This window comes from Homo sapiens, chromosome 10 (assembly GCF_000001405.40).
Source record: "Homo sapiens chromosome 10, GRCh38.p14 Primary Assembly".
Lineage (NCBI taxonomy): Eukaryota > Metazoa > Chordata > Mammalia > Primates > Hominidae > Homo > Homo sapiens.
Genome location: NC_000010.11, coordinates 17,843,517 through 17,861,538, shown reverse-complemented (window position 1 = coordinate 17,861,538; position 18,022 = coordinate 17,843,517). Strand labels below are relative to the sequence as shown.

Genomic DNA, 18,022 nt, shown 5'->3' with positions numbered 1-18,022 from the left:
GACATATTTTAAAATGAAATTAAAATAGTTACATACCTGTCTTCAATAGTTGTTAAATAAGCATTCTCATTATTACAGGTTTGGTTTGCTTCTGCAAATGTTGAAAGCGTATGTCCAATCATATAGCAGTAAAAGTGATGTTTTTTCCAGCCCTATTAATGTTATCAAGCAGTGAATAAATGAGCAGAGTTCATGCATATATATTATAAAATATTATTATTATTTGAGATGCAGTTTTGCTCTTGTCGCCCAGGCTGGAGTACAATGGCGCAATCTTGGCTCACTGCAACCTCCGCCTGCCAGGTTCAAGCAATTCTCCTGCCTCAGTCTCCAGAGTAGCTGGAATTACAGGCACGTGCCACCACACCCGGCCAAATTTTTCTGTCTTTTTAGTAGAGATGGGGTTTCACCATGCTGGCCAGGCTGGTCTCAAACTCCTGACCTCAAGTGATCTACCCGCCTTGGCCTCCCAAAGTGCTGGGATTATAGGCGTGAGCCACTGTGCCCAGCCTTAGAAAATAATATTTTAATACTTTTTCTATCATGAAACTATTGGATAAACAATAGGAATGTCTAAAGAACACAACTCTGAAGAATCTGAAATGCAATGAAAATTATACACATAAACGAATAAAAGAAACAGTAGTACATCATTCCTCCTATGACAAATATGCAAATAAATGGGGGCAGCCATTCTCTCCACTTATAATGTATCTTGCAACGAAAACTATTTGTGAAACGTTTACTGAGGAAACTGAACAGAACGGCTAAGATACCAGTTTTAGAATAGGTAACCACAGGAAAGAATTTGGGGAAGAGCAAACCTAGTTGCCTATGGAAGACAATACTAGAAGGTGGGTATAAAGCTACATCATTTGGTCATAGGAGAGCACTTTTCAAACTTCAGGCAGTATGATTCAGCATTGTTCCTCCTTCTCCCATACTCCAAATACACAGAAATGGCCAGGCACAGTGGCATATGCCTGTAACGCCAGCACTTTGGGAGTCGAAGTTGGGAGGATGACTTGAGCCCAGGAGTTCAAGACCAGCCTGGGCAACATAGTGAGTCCCTATCTTTACAGAAAATTTTATAAAATTAGCTAGGCATGATGGCATGTGCCTGTAGTCCCAGCTACTCGGGAGGCTGAGGCAGGAGGATTGACTGAGCCAAGGAGGTGGAGGCTACAGTGAGCCATGATCAATCACACCACTACACTCGAGCCTGAGTGACAAAGTGAGACTCTGTCTCAGAAAAAAAAAAAAACAGAAATGCTAAATAAAAACATAACAATAAATGAAAAATCCATGCTAGAGTTTGAGAAGAAGAAGGGGGAAAACTCCAGGTACCCGAATTTAGTAGAATACTAAAAGCTGAATGGAAAATGCACAAATTAAATTGTTGTTGGCCAAGGACATATGAGATCCTAGATTAAGATCCTAAAGGCTGTGGTATTAATGTCCATACAGAATATGGTATTTGGCCTTTGTCTCACTTGAGGCAGGGAGTTGGAACCGAGGTCCTTGTATAAAAATGATACCAGTAACCCCGGTAACCCCTTGGTTAAAGGAGAACTAGAACATTCTGCCCACAGAAGCAGGAAATGACAGTGTCTTGTCATCTACCTGGGGTTCTGAGTACCGGAAAAAAACAATTCCTGAGTTTGAAAACAAATACCAAGTTTGTGCTGCAGATGAGTGACAGTTCCAAGTTTATGCTATCCACATTGTATGGGAACCCACAGCCAAAAAATTAAAGTCATACTTAATCTGTAAAAGGAGAATCTCTAAAGCACTCCAAGAAGTAGAATGCAAAACCACACATCAGAAATACGCCCACCAACCAGGTCAAGAGAGACTGTGACATTTGGGGAGATGGGTGGGGATGGAGAGGTCACTAAATCACAACCAAAAGCAATAAACCAGCCAGGCGCAGTGGCTCCCACCTGTAACCCCAACACTTTGGAAGGACGAAGCAGGTGGGTCACTTGAGGTCAGGAGTTCAAGACCACCTTGACCAACGTGGTGAAACCCCGTCTTGACTGAAAATGCAAAAATTAGCTGGGCGTGACGGCAGGCACCTGTAGTCCCAGCTACTTGGGAGGCTGAAGCAGGAGAATTGTGTGAACCCATGTGGTAGAGGTTGCGCTGAGCCGAGATCATGCCACTGCATGCCAGCCTGGGCAACATAGCAAGACTCCTTCTCAAAAACAACAACAACAACAAGCCATATGAGAAAATGTCCCATTTTAAGGAAGAGTCAACAACTGAACATAATAAAACAGAAAGCTCTTATTAAAAAAACAGCATGTTTGAGATGACTTGGTAACAAAAGAATAAATCCAATAACAAAAGATCAAAATAGTATGCACAAAGAAAAGGAGGATGTGAACCCCAAAGTACGGAATGTCTATAAAAGAAAACCATAGCAATGAAGTTAAAAACTCAATGGTCAGATTAAATATAGTAATCAGGGTTTCATAGGAAATTAGTCAATTGGATGAAAAGATAAAAAGCAAGACAGAAAAGATAGCATAGGAAGAGATGAAGATACGAAAAGAGGTTAAAAAACATGTTGACAGAAAGCATAGACAATAGAATGAGAAGGTTGAACAACCGCCTATAATAAGTTTCAGAAGTTTCAGAAGCAGCGAATAAAACTAATGATGGGTCACTTTCAAGAACTGAAAGATGGCTGTGAAACCTCAAAGAATCACTCTGGGCCTGGCACGATGGCTCATGCCTGTGATGGCTCATGCCTGGCACAATGGCTCATGCCTGTAATCCCAGCACTTTGGGAGGCCAAGGCGGATGGATCATGAGGTCAGGAGTTCAAGATCAGCCTGGCCAATATGGTAAAACTCCATCTCTACCAAAAATACAAAAATTAGCCAGGCATGGTAGCTTGTGCCTATAGTCCCAGCTACTCAGGAGGCTGAAGCAGAAGAATTACTTGAGCCCGGGAGGCGGAGGTTGCAGTGAGCTAATATCATGCCACTGCACTCCAGCCTGGGCAACAGAGCAAGACTTCATTTCAAAAAAAAAGAATCACACCAGGGAGCAAAGTCAACAAATAAAATAATTCCAGATCTAGGCACATGTAGTAGAATGCTACACTGCAGCATTCCACTAGGTACTCGGCATTCACCCAGGCACTGCAGAATGCCAAAGACAAGGAGAAGATTTTAAAATCAATCAGAGAGAACCACCAGCATATCCACTTCAAAACTGAAGAAGAATTAGTGTGACAGCAGGAATTCCAGTACCAAAAATAAGGCCACGAGAAAGTATAATAAAATAATATATAAACCGCTGTCAGAAAACAACCATCAATCCAGAATTCTAAACTGACCTAGCTAAACTATTATTCAGGGTGAGGATGAATTTAAGACATTCTCAGACAATTTGGTGGCTGATGAATGGTTTCATTTCTGTCTTTTTCTGTAAACATTTTAAAACACATTTTATTTTAATGTCATATCTATAAATTTTCCCCATATGAAGATCCTGGTGGTATATCTTATAATTTGGGGTTTCAGTCTCACCTGTGGGGTTGCCACAGCTTGAATAATGAGACTTCTTTATAATGAGGATTTACATTTATATATGTCAGGAATCCTGGACTATTAGAAACCTGTGGCCACTTTAGGTTGATTTCTTGGTTTAGGGTTTCCCACACTGATAGCATTGAATTGAAAATTAAATCCCAGGTCTGTGCAACAACAACAAGCCTGTGATTTCTGAATTCTTAGAAAGACCCCTCAACACCACTGTATGCCAAAGCCCAGGCAGAAAAAAATTGCATTATTATCTTCCTTTGTTGATGAGTGGATTTTTTCTTTCCTAGTCTTCCCAGCCCGGTAAGGAAAGCACTGCCTCAAACAGGTGTTTTTAAAGTGGTCAAGTTGTTTAAACTCTTTGTGTTTCAGTTTCCTCTTCTTTTTAATCAGGACTATAATATTCACCCTGTAAATCTATTAGAATGCAATAATTGTACTTCATAAGGGACTGCTATTATTTTATTTTTATTATCATCCTAATGATTAAACAGGATTATTATCAAGATTTTAGATGTGTAGGAAAATAGAAAAAAATAAAACAGATTGATTAAAAGCAATAAAAATGTAAGGTTTGTTATTTTAGAAAATGACAGTAATATACAAGCTTGTGTAAACATATGATCAGGCAAAGAATATGAACGTATGCTGGAACTGAAACAAAGGATAGTTGTTTAGGGACAGGAGACCTGGGTTCTACCCTTGCCTCTGTTTCTATCAGAAAGCTACGTTGCTTCTCTGAACTGAAGTTTCCAGAATTCAAAACTTAGAAGAGGAACTGTGAAATCACCCAGGTCCTTTGTGACTCTTCCATGCTATGATTTTCCATTATCTGCTCTATTTCTTTATGGTTTATTTTTATAGTACCAAATTATCAGCTTTCTGGTACGTGTTATAAGATTATGTGACCACAACATAATACTCTTAGGGAAAAAAATAGTTTCTACTTCATTTTTATTCAAAGAAAATGAGAAAGTAGAAAAGAAGATGTAGCAATCAAACAGGAAAATGATAACCATAAACCCTGTGTTTTCATAGCTTCTGTGTGCTTTAAAAAACTATTTCACAGGGACCACTGAGTTACCGTGGGTACCAGTTGGAGGCTGGATTTCCTACCTCCCGACTGCGGTGACCTACTGAGAAGAATCCTCTCCAGGAGATGCCTCATCAGAAAGATTATAAATGGGAAAAAAATGACTAAGGATCATTTGCTATCAGCAACTTGGGGGTATCTACTGCAAATGTTCTTAACAACCCATAGGATGACAGACTATAGTAGACTGTCACCTTCTACTATAGAAGGTGGATGACACCTTCTCCCGTGGCCTGCCCTCAACTTAGCCAGATTCCCTCTGATGTGCCATTTTTAGTTCCTGTTCTCTCTCTTCCAATTCCCATGACATTCTGAAAGGAGCTACCGGCCTTGTGTACCTCTGTATTAACTATAGAGAATTCCCCAAGAAAACTTTAAGGAGAACAGTGAGATCAACACTAACAATAAACTATTGAAGACTGAGACAGCAGAAACCCTTGGCTACTGCAATAACAAGGCACTTTCACACATAAAAATAAAGCCAACGGTATCAACTCATACGTGCTCAGCTTAAGTCACTGTGGGCATGGTGCACTCACTTTCCTGCAGCCTTTTTCGACTTCCACTATTTCTGGACCTTGGCTTCGTGATTTCATCTTGCAGATGTAGCCAAGAGGCCACTCACAGCCCCGATCTGCCCAGTACCCATCCTGCAGGGAGCAGAGAGAGAGAAAAAAATAAAGGATTATCAGTTTGGGGACCTTTTTTTTTTTTTTTTTTTTGAGACAGTGTCTCACTCTGTCCCCCAGGCTGGAGTGCAGTGGCGCGATCTTGGCTCATGGCAACCTCTGCCTCCCAGGTTCAAGTGATTCTCCTGCCTCAGCCCCCCTAGTAGCTAGGATTACAGGAACCCACCACCAAGCTCTGCTAATTTTTTGTATTTTTAGTAGAGATGGGGTTTCACCATGTTGGCCAGGCTGGTCTTGAACTCCTGACCTCAGGCGATCCACCCACCTTGGCCTCCCAAAGTGCTGGGATTACAGGCATGAGCCACTGCGCCCGGCCAATTTTGGACTTTGATGTTATTTTCTTGTAACTGTGCCTCAGAGGAGGAAAATTAAGATCCAAGGTTATTGAGAGAAAACGGCATCTACTGAAAGGAAAGGTAATTGACATGTTCATATGTAAACAGTAATTTTGACTCTAGCTACAAACATGTAAAAAGTGATTGGAGCCGCAATATGATTTTATATCTGAGATGTCCAAGCCATTGTTTAGAGGAATCCAGGGAGAAATTAAAAATGTCTGTAAGTCCTTGGATGACGGTGCTCGCAAGAGGTTTGCATGCAGCCTCTTTTTTTTTTTTTTTTTTTTTTTTTTGAGACGGAGTCTCGCTCTGTTGCCCAGGCTGGAGTGCAGTGGCTCTGATCTTGGCTCACTGCAAGCTCCACCTCCCAGGTTCACACCATTTTCCTGCCTCAGCCTCCTGAGTAGCTGGGACTACAGGCGCCTGCCACCACGCCCTGCTAATTTTTTATATTTTTAGTAGAGACGGGGTTTCACCGTGTTAGCCAGGATGGTCTCGATCTCCCGACCTCATGATCCGCCTGCCTCGGCCTCCCAAAGTGCTGGGATCACAGGCGTGAGCCACTGGGCCCGGCCGCATGCAGCGTCTTCATCAATCCCTGCAGTCAGCTCTGTCTTCAAATTAATCAAGTTCATATACGCCATCCAGAAAAATCTCCTGCACCCAACACACCAACTTGAAAGCATCATGAAACCACAGTCATCTTTTCTGCCTTCTTCCTATTTCTACTGATGAGTGCTCCCCTGGATCTGAGGCTCAACCTTCCACTTTATTTCAGATTCTATCCCCTCTCTTTTCCTTTGAGATTTCATGTTAAAAGGACCTCTCCTTTCCTTCCCTTCGCTGCTAAACATCTTGAAAAAAATGTTTTCTGGGCCAAGCGCGGCGGCTCACGCCTATAATCCCAGCACTTTGGGAGGCCAAGGCGGGTGGATCACCTGAGGTCAGGAGTTCAAGACTAGCCGGGCCAACATGGTGAAACCCTGTCTCTACTAATAATACAAAAAAGTTAGCTGGATGTGGTGGTGCACGCTTGTAATCTCAGCTACTCGGGAGGCTGAGGCAGGAGAATCGCTTGAACTCTCGAGGCAGAGGTTGCATTGAGCCAAGATTGTGCCATTGCACTCCAGCCTGGGCAGCAAGAGCAAAACTCTGTCTCAATAAATAAATAAATAAATAAAATGTTTTCTGTATTGTCTGTCTTTAACTCCTCATATCCTAGTTGGTCTCAGCCCAGTGCAATCTGACACGTAAGCCTTTAGCCAGAGTAACATTTATAAATTGCCACTTTGGTTTTACCCCTCCGAGACAACTCATGTTTCTTGAACCTCAGTTCCTACCCACCCTTCCGGCTCTGACTTCATGATTTCAACCACACTGACCTTTCACCTCCTCCAAGCATGCTGCTTTCTGGTTTCTTCTGTCTACTCTTTGGATAGTTAACACCTAATATGTTCTTAAACTTTCAATCCATCACAATAAAAACAACCACAATGACAAAAATAACAGCCACAGTGACAAAAATAAACAACCACAATGACAAAAATTATTGAACAATAAATATGGGCTGGGAACTGTGTACCACACATGCATTATTTAATACTCATATCCTGGGCCTGGCACAGTGGCTCACGCCTGTAACCTCAACACTTTGGGAGGCTGAGGCAGGCAGATCGCTTGAGCTTAGGAGTTCAAGACTAGCTTGGGCAACATGGCAAAACTCCATCTGTACCAAAAATACAAAAAATTAGCCAGGCGTGGTGGCACGCACCTTTAGTCACAGCTATTTGGGAGGCCTGAACCCAGGAGGTCAAGACTGCAATGAGCTGAGATTGCACCACTGCACTGCAGCCTGGGTGACAGAGCAAGACTCTGTCTTAAAAAACAAACAAACAAACAACAACAACAACAAAAAAAAAAACCTCATATCCACAGGTGAGCTAAGTACAGCTCTTATTCCCATTTTGCAAATAAAGGAGTCAGTCACACAGCAAAACTCAGCCTCTTAATCACTGTGTTTACCATCTATTAATAAAAGATAAATTTGATAACATTTTTCAATCACTGAGGTCATATTTCAATCATAAAAGCAATCATTTCATATGACAGCTCCATGTAAACTGAAAAAAATGAATGTAGCTCCCCAAGTACAGCTTCCAGACCTAATCCACCGTAGCTGTAAGTAGATCTGCATCTACTTGGTGTATATATATCTCTCACATATATACGGGGCTACAATCTCTTTTTACATATATATATATATACACACACACACACACACACACACACACATACATATATATCTCTTTTTACATCTCTTGTAATCATATATATGGCTTATAATAACTTTTTATATATACATGCATAATCATATATATGGCTTAATTGGTCAGATGAGAGCTTTGGTGGATATATATATACACCATTATAATATGGCACTATATATATGGCCATGTACATATATAGTGCCATAGAAACAATATGAGTATTCATTACAGGCGAATTTCATCCTTGACCCAAAAGTTTCTGTCCATTGCTTCAGTGATCCTCTTGAAAATTTGACTTTGCTAGACAGTTGAGAGGGATTCAAGAAATCAAATCTGAATTTTGGTTCACCTTTGATCCATGCCAATTTATGTAGAATAAAAACAATCTAAACAAACATATGTAACTGACTGGGACAGAAGGAAAAATCCCCCGTGACTTTCATTATAAATATCAGTCATTCAAGTGGCCTTACCTTGCCTTTCATCACCACACAATCCTCCTGTCTGTTGTTTTCATGGCTTGGTTCTCCACGAAGCCATTTGGTAAACGTTACAGGGGTCCCATCACTCCACTCAAAGTACATTTGAATCTTAATGTCATTTAAGCCGATCCACAATTCGTCATTTGGCTCTAAACAGGAAGAAACACACAGTGGTATATACAAGGGTTGCTTTCCAAAGGTCGGGGGGTAAAAGGAACGGAAGGCACTCTGCTTTATCAACAGGGCTCTACCTCCCTTGATATGATCACCATCATGAAAGATAGTCCTCATGAGTGCTCATCTGACCTACATGCTGTCGACTTAGATGCCAACTACATTTTACCTTGTTAGTTTTAGGCTGTGTAGTGTACCCTTTACATTGTGAATATGACTGTATTCTTTAGTGGAAATATTGTAGATTGTATCTCCTGGCAGTTACAAAAACAAAATTGAGGTAGGTCTATTACTATGCTCTATCTTATGAAGCTGCTTTTATTGTTGCAAATAATTTACCATGCCAACTGCACTCATGTTATTGATGGTAGCCTATTTATATACATCTGTTTGACTATGATTAAATTGATGAATGTTTTCAAATAACAAAAATTTTAAACTGCTTCTATTTTACTGACTCTTGTTATCAAGAACATTCTAGATACTTCCGTTAAAGATCAATCACTGTACTGGGAGTGAAAATTATCTATATAGTGAAAGAATTATAAACCAAGAGGTGAGACTTGCACCTGACATTTGGTACCTATCTATTATGCTGTATATACAAATGAATCTGTAATCATTTTCATCATGAAATGCCAGGAAATTCCAGCAAAACTTAAATAACAAATGAGGGTAAAACGAAAACAACCAATATAGATTTAAAACATGATCATTTTGTTTTGAAATTCTATGGAGAACATTATTGATTTTATAAGTAGGTGCCATGCTAAAAATTCCTAAATATCACAACAAAAATGGGATAAAGTTAAAGTCAATGAAGGTTTAAGATGTCATGGCTAAAAAATAAACTTGTCTAAATTAAAAAAAGTTAAAGAATACACAAATCAATATCTATCTAATTCACACGACTGGGAGTCCCATCATGAATGCTTGATGTATGATCATTTAGTGGTATAATAAAATTAGTTGCCAAAGTATTGTAAAGATGATGTTGTGGTAGAAAATGAGGAAAACATCACAATGTATAAGATTCTCCCTAAGCGGTTTAGTCTCTTCCTCCTGAAAGTTGTCATTCAACTTTGCTTTTGGAGAAGTCTCTAGCTGGCCTGGCGCCAGCACTGGCAGATGTTTCCAGTGCCGTGGAGAATGAATGACACTGCCAGGATGATCCTCTTCTCCTTTCACTTGATTTGCAGATCGTGATCTTTTCAGCAACAAATGCAGGCTTCAAAGTGACCTCATGTACCCCTCAAAGATTTAAATTGAAGATCAAAGAAAAACTAACCTCCTAAGTCCCACAGTTAAGAGTTTCCTATATACATATTTCTCACTAAATTGTTCTCCCCCATAGCTTCTTCAATTCCTAAGCACAATCTTGATCCTAGAAAAATATATAAGATGTGAGTGTAAAGTTGTCATGCTGATTTTTATCAATTAGTTGGGGAAGTTGTATTCATTGGTATAATCATAACTTACGTGTATAGGTCTTAATGTGTCCACTTGAAATATACTTCCATGATTAATACAAAAGGTATCATCTCAATTATGTAAAAAAAAATTTCTAGGTTTTTGTTTAGAAACAATAATTTTAACTTTACAACTTTACTTTTATTAATATTATTTTATTGTTTAAAATAAAATCTTATCAATAATTTTTAATGGAAGGTTTTCTAATTTATTTACTAATTCTCATGCTGAATTTCAAAGCAACTTTGGCCATCCAATTTCCTAAAATAATTATAGCAATAAAAATATCAGGTTTTTTTCTTTCACTACATTATGTTATACAAAGTAGAGTTAAATGTGCACTCCAGTTCTAGAGCATCCTAACTAACCTGTTTTCTGCTAAATCATTTGCAAACTTTACTGGCTATAAGTGCCACACTAAATTTAAGTAATTGTTATTCAGACATACCAGTTCTGATTCCATTATTATCTTCTATTGTGAATTTTCCAGGATAAGTAGACACAGAATAACCAAGAAATTGTTCATAGGCTGCAGCTGGGCTATTCTCGTGGCCTAAGACACTCAATGGGGTCAACACAGGAAGATGGATACCATTTGGCAGGTGCTAGAAGTAGGAGTGTTTCGGGGACTTTTAAGTCTTTTTCTGCTACTACTCTATTTGTTTCTCATCTATTTGTTAGTTGCTTTTTCCTCCCCTCCCCCAGCCCCAATCAGTTTCCAGGCACTATGTGTCAGGAAGCTGTCTCCACCATCTCCACCATCCATTTCCTCTTGTTTTGCTGGGGGGAAATGAAGAGCAGCTGCAGCTATTCAGCAGCCTCATCAGTGGAAGATGAAAATGATCATCATTTAATCAACAAGCACTGCTGAGTGCCCATTATCATTATGCTGTTTCTCAAGCCGCTCATCTTCGGGACAAGCATTCCCAGCTCATTTTATTCATCTATTTTTTTCTGCTTAGTACATTTTCTGTGTATTTTTAATTATGCACCTAAAATTGAGACATACATTTCTTTAAAAAAAATTTTTTTTAGTAGAGACGAGGTCTTGCTATGTTCCCTGGACTGGCCTCAAACTCCTGGGCTCAAGCTATCCTTCCCACCTTGGCCTCCCAAAGTGGTGGGATTACAGGCATGAGCCACCGTAGCTTGGCCAAGAAATATATTCCTTTAAAAGGTTTAGGCTGACATCTAACCATTTCAAAAAAAAAAAAACTCCTATATTTTTCACTGTTCAACACCCTCCCAGCATCAGCTAAATTCACAAAGAAAAAAGAAATCTAAAGTCTGAAACAGTCCATTTAGAAATCTTTTTTAGGAGATAAAATATGGACCTAAAAAAAGAAGATACACACACACACACAGATAATTCCAAGGAATTAAGCATTGTTCACAAGTGTAAGGTAGACTGCTCTGCATCCAGATAATGCATGAAAAAAATAATGTTTTAAAACTACCCATAAATGGATTACACATTAAAAGAAAAAGAAATTGAATTATCTTTCAGTGATAAGAATTCTTTCAATTATTATACAATTTTCACATTGTGGCATTTTCAGCATTTGTGATTAAATTCATACGTTGTTCGTTGAATTATTGATTTACATTGATTAAATTTGATGTTTATGATAGAATTTTCCAGAGTTGGGTAGAAAGGGGTGCTCCCAGGATTAAAGCCAAGTATATTATCACTGTCAAGTTTCTCACCATATCCTAGCTGGGAGATAATAAAGTCCAATTCCTCGATGGTGTGGATACTTGTGAGGTCACCGCCTTCCTTCCTGCAGGTGGTCAGAGCATCCCTCTGGATTTTTTTCTCATCTCTGTGAATCTTGTAACAGTGACCGGCATACGGCCACCACTGACTAGGACAGTGAGTAGGCACATCACTTTCTAGAAACAAAAAGGGGGGTCGGAAAAAAATTTTAAAAGATTTGATTAAAACTATAACAATATTTTAATCATTTTATATAATACATGAAACAGCTTATAGTTACTAGGCAAATAAAGGTAACATTTAGTTTTTATTTTCGCAGCATACATATTCACCAAAAATAGACAAGGCATATACTATTTTGTTGGTTTTTAGACAAAACAAAATAACCTACTTTTTAATCAAATGGGAAATCACCTTATCAACTTTCTTTCTTTCTTTTTTTTTTTTTTTTAAGAGACAAGGTCTCCCTCTATTCCCCAGGCCAGAGTGCGGTGGTGTGATCATGTCTCATTGCAGCCTCAACCTCCTGGGCTCAAGCAGTCCTCCTGCCTCAGCCTCCTAAGTAGCTGCTACTACAGGGCATAAGCCACTGTACTTGGCTATGGGAAATCTCTTTTTAAAAAGTTATATCTACAACAAGACTATACTAATACATATTAGATTATCTAAATCTTGTCAGCAAACCTGAACTAAGCATCTGTTATGCACTGTTTAAATGCTGGAGGCCTGAAAGCTTTGGGGGACTAAACACATCCCCTAAAAGATTTGAATTTACTTTATTCTATGGACATTAGGGAGCCAGTCACTCTTGAGAGGCAGGTTAGTGTTGAAGTAGAGAGCTGGAATGGCTGGGGGACAAACGGTCTCCAAGGAGCCTCCGCCACCATAGCCACATGAGTCAGCCACTTGTTGCCTCAGAACAGACCCACTACCATTTAGTTGCTACCCAAAACTGACACGTGCTTGTGACTAGGAGAGGGATCTGGAGTCATAACTCCTAAAACCTGAATTTGCGGTAAGTTGTGTGATCTTCGGCAAGTCACATCACATGAAAAGGAGTACCCATATAGGTGAAAATTTTTAAATGAGATTAGTACTAACACTAATATCAAACCACCCACCCCATGTTCTTCTGAACTAGAAAAGAATAGAGAGAGTGTGCTTGTAAATCACAAGCACCACACAATCATTATTTAATTAAACCAGCTGTCAACATCCTCAGCCTCGCTACTAATAGGATCAAATTGTATAATCTTGATTATACGCTGCAAAAATTTAATAGTAATGAGCTAGGGGAAAGTGACAATAAAGACATTTGAAGGCAGATGTTTATTCATCCCTATTGCCTTGAGCCTGGCACAGGGCCTGGTACATATAAGCGTATTGAGTATTGGAAGAGAAAAAGAATTGAAGTTATAGTTGATATATGGCTGCTTGTTATTACTATTCTAGAGATACTATTTCAAACAGTAATTTGGCAACATGTTTTGCTTAGAAGGGGACTATATTGCCAAATGAAAGTGAACGTATATATTATTTAAGCTCATATTAAATGTTTTCAAATGGCTGTCTTAGTATATGTTCGTTATAGGGTACCTTTCTTCACTATTCCTTTGATGAATTGGTCGTATCTTCCCTTAAAGGTGGAGAGTATCTGAAACATCATTGTTTAAGCCCAGGATTTTGTGCCCTGCAGTCATACAAGTAACTACTCAGTCATGAGGCTCAAATGCTGTACAATTGTAATAAAAAATGCATATTTAAAAAAATTCTATTCCCTCAATACAATTTAGATTCTGTGCACTTCCAGTGGTTACAAAAAAAAAAAGAAGAAAAAGAAAAAGAAAGCAAGCTTAGTACAGCTTTGGAGCCCTCTGGTGGGTTATTTTAATTTTGCTACCTAGGAAATTGAAAATAGTATCAGCCAATGCTGTCCTTCAAAAACTGAAATGATGAACTTTAAACATATTTGAAAGCATGAAAACAACCAACTTGAGTGAAATGAAGGGGAGTTCCCTGGGGCAGCCACAGAAGATGATTTGTTCCTCTAGCCACAGCTCATGTGCTCAGTGGCCACATGCGGTTAAGTGGCTGCTAAGCCAGAGAGTACAGCCCTAGAGACCTGAGGATTATGGACAAACGGGTTAGTGTTACAATAATTCACAGGGTTTGAGGTTGAATTCTTGCCTAAGGCTGTTGCTAATCCCGTATGCTGCATAATTTGAACTCTGATACGCTTTTCCAAGCTCTGGTTTATTTGAGTTTATAGATAAAACAGAATCATTAATCCAGGGAGTATAGAGATGTTCAGAAACTGACATCAAGTGGTTAGCGAGTGAAGAAGGCATCATGGAGGAATAAGAATGTACTGAGTGTTTGATGAAATGAACAAAATTTTATCTCAGGAAGAAGAGTCATGAACATTTCCATTTTACACATGAGGATCCCAGCACCGGCAGGTTAAGCAGTAAGGCCAAGTTACAGAATTCTGAGTGCTGTACCAGAGAAACTATAAAGTAACTATTCTCCTCTTTGGCAACATGGAAATTCCAAGTCTTAGAAAGAGAATTGTAATGAAGGCTTCCAAAAAAGGAAAAAATACACTATTTCTCCTAGAGGAGGAATAGTAGAGGTAAAATGCAAAAATGGTGAGCTTTCTCTAAAGATACCCACCGTCACTATGGAGAGCCTGTAAAGGATAATCAAACCCAACATCCAGGTCCCGCATCTATATCTATTTAGGATCTTGGCCAAATCTATATCAATTAAAATTGCAAACACATCTCCTCCCTAATCCAACAATTCCACTTCCAGGAATGATCACATGCATGAAATGATGTGCATAGAATGTATATAGTTATTTACCTCAGGACTGTTTGTATTAATAAAAGATTGGAAGTAAATTAAATTAAAAATCCATTACACAGGAGATCGGTCAAAAAAATATATGTGCTGTCTCTGCAATAGCTTTTGGACAGCCATAAAATTAAACATAGAAGCTGTTTATATTCTACGTGGAATGATGTCCAAAATTGTTGTTAAGTGGAAAACTTAGGATAAAAACATATTATAGTATACTGCCATTTGTATGAAACAAAAATAATTATAAATATATTTGTTTATATAGTCACAGAATAACTAAGGATACACACCCAGAAACAATTATTCTCCAGGAAGGTAAACTGGGTGTTACAGGTGAGAGGTAGGGAAAACCTTATTATTTATCATGTTGTATCTTTTGAATCTCTAGCTATGTCAAGCGTATTTTAAAATACATGAAATTGCTTTCAAAGCCAATGGGAAGAAAAAAACAAGAATGCCACATTGTCAGTTTCCTCCAGCAGAAAAACAGAAATAAATTAAACCATTTAAAGCATTCGCTGTCCCTCCAAAAAGAGGTAATAATAAAAAATATGTAGTTTGTCTTTCATCAATTGGAAGAAAGAATTCTTGCCTTAGTAGTTTATTCTCCTATAAAATTGTAAGGGACAACACAATTGATTTTTTTTTTTCTTGAAGTCTAGCCGATATTTAAAATTCAGTTACAGGCCAGGCACGGTGGCTCATGCCTGTAATCCCAGCACTTTGGGAGGCTGAGGTGGGTAGATCACCCAAGGTCAGGAGTTCAAGACAAGCCTGGCCAACACAGCGAAACACCATCTCTGCTAAAAATACAAAAATTAGCTGGGCGTGATGGCACACATCTGTAATCCCAACTACTCGGGAGGCTGAGGCAGGAGAATCACGAACCCAGGAGGCGAAGTTTGCAGTGAGCTGAGATCGCGCCATTGTACTCCAGCCTGGGTGACAGAATGAGACTCTGTCTCAATAAATAAATAAAATTCAGTTACAACTTTTTAGATATTTTATTCTATTTTATGAAAACTTTAGTATAAGACGCTACACTGAATAGCAAGGAAGCCCAGATAGAGCCGTGAGGACCTAATATAAACATCCCTTCCAAATGTTGACTTTCTAGCTTGGATTCCGGTTTTGCCATGTCTGCAAGGTTTCTGTATCCTCTGAATATCTTTTTCCTCAACTATAGCATGTGAATCATGACACCTACCTCAGAGGACTGATTGGGAAGGTAACATTTTTATTTAGGTCAGAGGATCTCCACAATGCCCAGACACCGCCGCACACTCAGGAAATACTAGCAACCAGCACACAGAAATATTGCAGTAATATCATTAAGTTTACCCCATCAACTATCCACAAAACCTCTGGCGGCATTCCAACAGTTACACCTAAGCTGTAATGTTACTTATCTTTCAATTCTAATAGTTGAGGCACTTCAGATCCCATAGATCACTTACCTGAGGGAATAACAAAAGAATTTAAAGTGGTGTTGCCCTTTTTGCAAATATAGCCCAGTTTCTGAACACATTCCAGATTTTCCCATTTAGCATTTTTTCCAGGATTTAGTGACACACAGCTTTTTCCAGGTTCAGCTGATGGACTTCCTTCGAGGAAAAGGAAAAGTTAAAGTGGACTATTATAGCTATTCCCAGCAGATAGCATCCCTCCCACGTCTCCTCATGTCTTCATCCTGGGGATTCAATGGACCACCATTCTGTCTTTTGCTACACATTCACAAAAAAATATTTACTGACTGCAGAGCAAAAGACACGATGGGTGTCTATTGTTTTCTTATCGTTGGATCATTCCAATACTTAGAATGTTGATAAAGCAAATATACTTCTTTGAAACAACCCTTTCCCCCATTATCAGCTAATAAAGCTACACCTTAAAACTTGAACAGTTGTCACAACGGATTACATTATCAAAGAGAGGTACCTAATGAAAAGAATGCATGATTATGCCGCCATAAAAAAAAATGAAATCATCATGTCCTTTGCAGCAACATGGATGCAACTAGAGGCCATTATCCTAAGCGAATTAATGCAGAACAGAAAGCCAAATAGCCATGTTCTCACTTCTAAGTGGGAGCTAAATACCGAGTACTCATGGACACAAAGATGGCAACAACAGAAACTGGGGACTATGAGATGGGGGAGGAATGGAGGGTAACAAAGTTTGGAAAACTAGCTACTGGGTTCTATGCTCACTGCCTGGTTGATGGGATGGATCATTTATATCCCAAACCTCAGCAACATGCAATTTACCTAGGTATGTAACAACCGTGTACATGTATCTCTGAATCTACAAGTAGAATTTATTAAAAAGAAAGAATACATGATGTTCCAAACCTGCCACACTAAACATTATTAGGGCAGGGCACGGTGGCTCACGCCTGTAATCCCAGCACTTTGGGAGGCTGAGGCGGATGGATCAACTGAGGTCAGGAATTCGAGATCAGCCTGGCCAACATAATGAAACCCCATTTCTACTAAAAATACAAAAAAATCGGCCGGGGAGCTGGCGGGCACCTGTAATCCCAGCTACTTGGGAGGCTGAGGCAGGAGAATTGCTTGAACCTGGGAGGCAGAGGTTGCAGTGAGTGGAGATCACACCACTGCACTCCAGCCGGGGTGACAGAGTGAGACTCTGTCTCAAAAATAAAAATAAAAATAAATGGAGGAGAAAAAGCTAATGGGAGAGCTAGATGGGCAGCATGCTGTGCTCCCAGAACTAAAACTGTCTCAATATCTTCAACTCAGCCTACTGAAGAAGACTTTCAGCAGCTATGCCTTATCCATTTCTTAGTGGAAACTGATTAAAGAACCAGATAAAGTCAACGTTGCTAAAGGGATGAATGTAGGCATTGATACATTTCACATGCGTTTTGCTACTCTAATATATGATTTAAAAACCAGTACTCCCCAAACTAGCTTCACCTTCCACCTGAAGACAGGGTGAATGAGCCACATTCTGTTAATACCTATGCTTTGTGACCTCCAATGTGTATGTAACCTGTGCCTGAATGTCACTTCCTTTCCTGCAAGACGGAAATCATATTACCTGCTCCACAAAGTCTGGAGCAGGTAATAACCTAAATAACCTTTTTAAAGTTTTGGTGGTATTCTTTGTGTGGTAATTAAATGATTTTTTTAAAGTTTATTTAACTACCACACAAAGAAAATAATGGTTAGTAATAAGCATTAAGTTATCTTTTTTTTTTCTTTTTGAGATGGAGTTTTGCTCTGTCACTCAGGCTAGAGTCCAGTGGCGTGATCTCAGCTCACTGCAACCTCCACCTCCTGGGTTCAAGCAATTCTCTGCCTCAGCCTCCTGAGTAGCTGGGACTACAAGTGCCCACACCATGCCCAGCTAA

General features: G+C 39.3%; 1 protein-coding gene and 1 non-coding gene across 2 annotated transcripts in view; both read right to left on the bottom strand.

Annotated features, from left to right (window-relative positions):
• MRC1 (mannose receptor C-type 1) overlaps positions 1 to 18,022 on the bottom strand; it is a 101,817-nt gene that overhangs the window by 49,626 nt on the left and 34,169 nt on the right. Inside the window, exons 6-10 of the mRNA NM_002438.4 lie at positions 16,104 to 16,250; positions 11,775 to 11,960; positions 8,415 to 8,572; positions 5,187 to 5,297; positions 37 to 152 (exon numbers count right to left, since the gene is read on the bottom strand). Coding sequence (NP_002429.1) covers positions 37 to 152; positions 5,187 to 5,297; positions 8,415 to 8,572; positions 11,775 to 11,960; positions 16,104 to 16,250 — 718 coding nt within the window. The remainder of the gene's footprint in view (positions 1 to 36; positions 153 to 5,186; positions 5,298 to 8,414; positions 8,573 to 11,774; positions 11,961 to 16,103; positions 16,251 to 18,022) is intronic.
• On the bottom strand, positions 16,346 to 16,432 carry MIR511 (microRNA 511). Its single transcript, NR_030167.1, has one exon. It is a non-coding gene; the product is annotated as a microRNA 511 (primary transcript).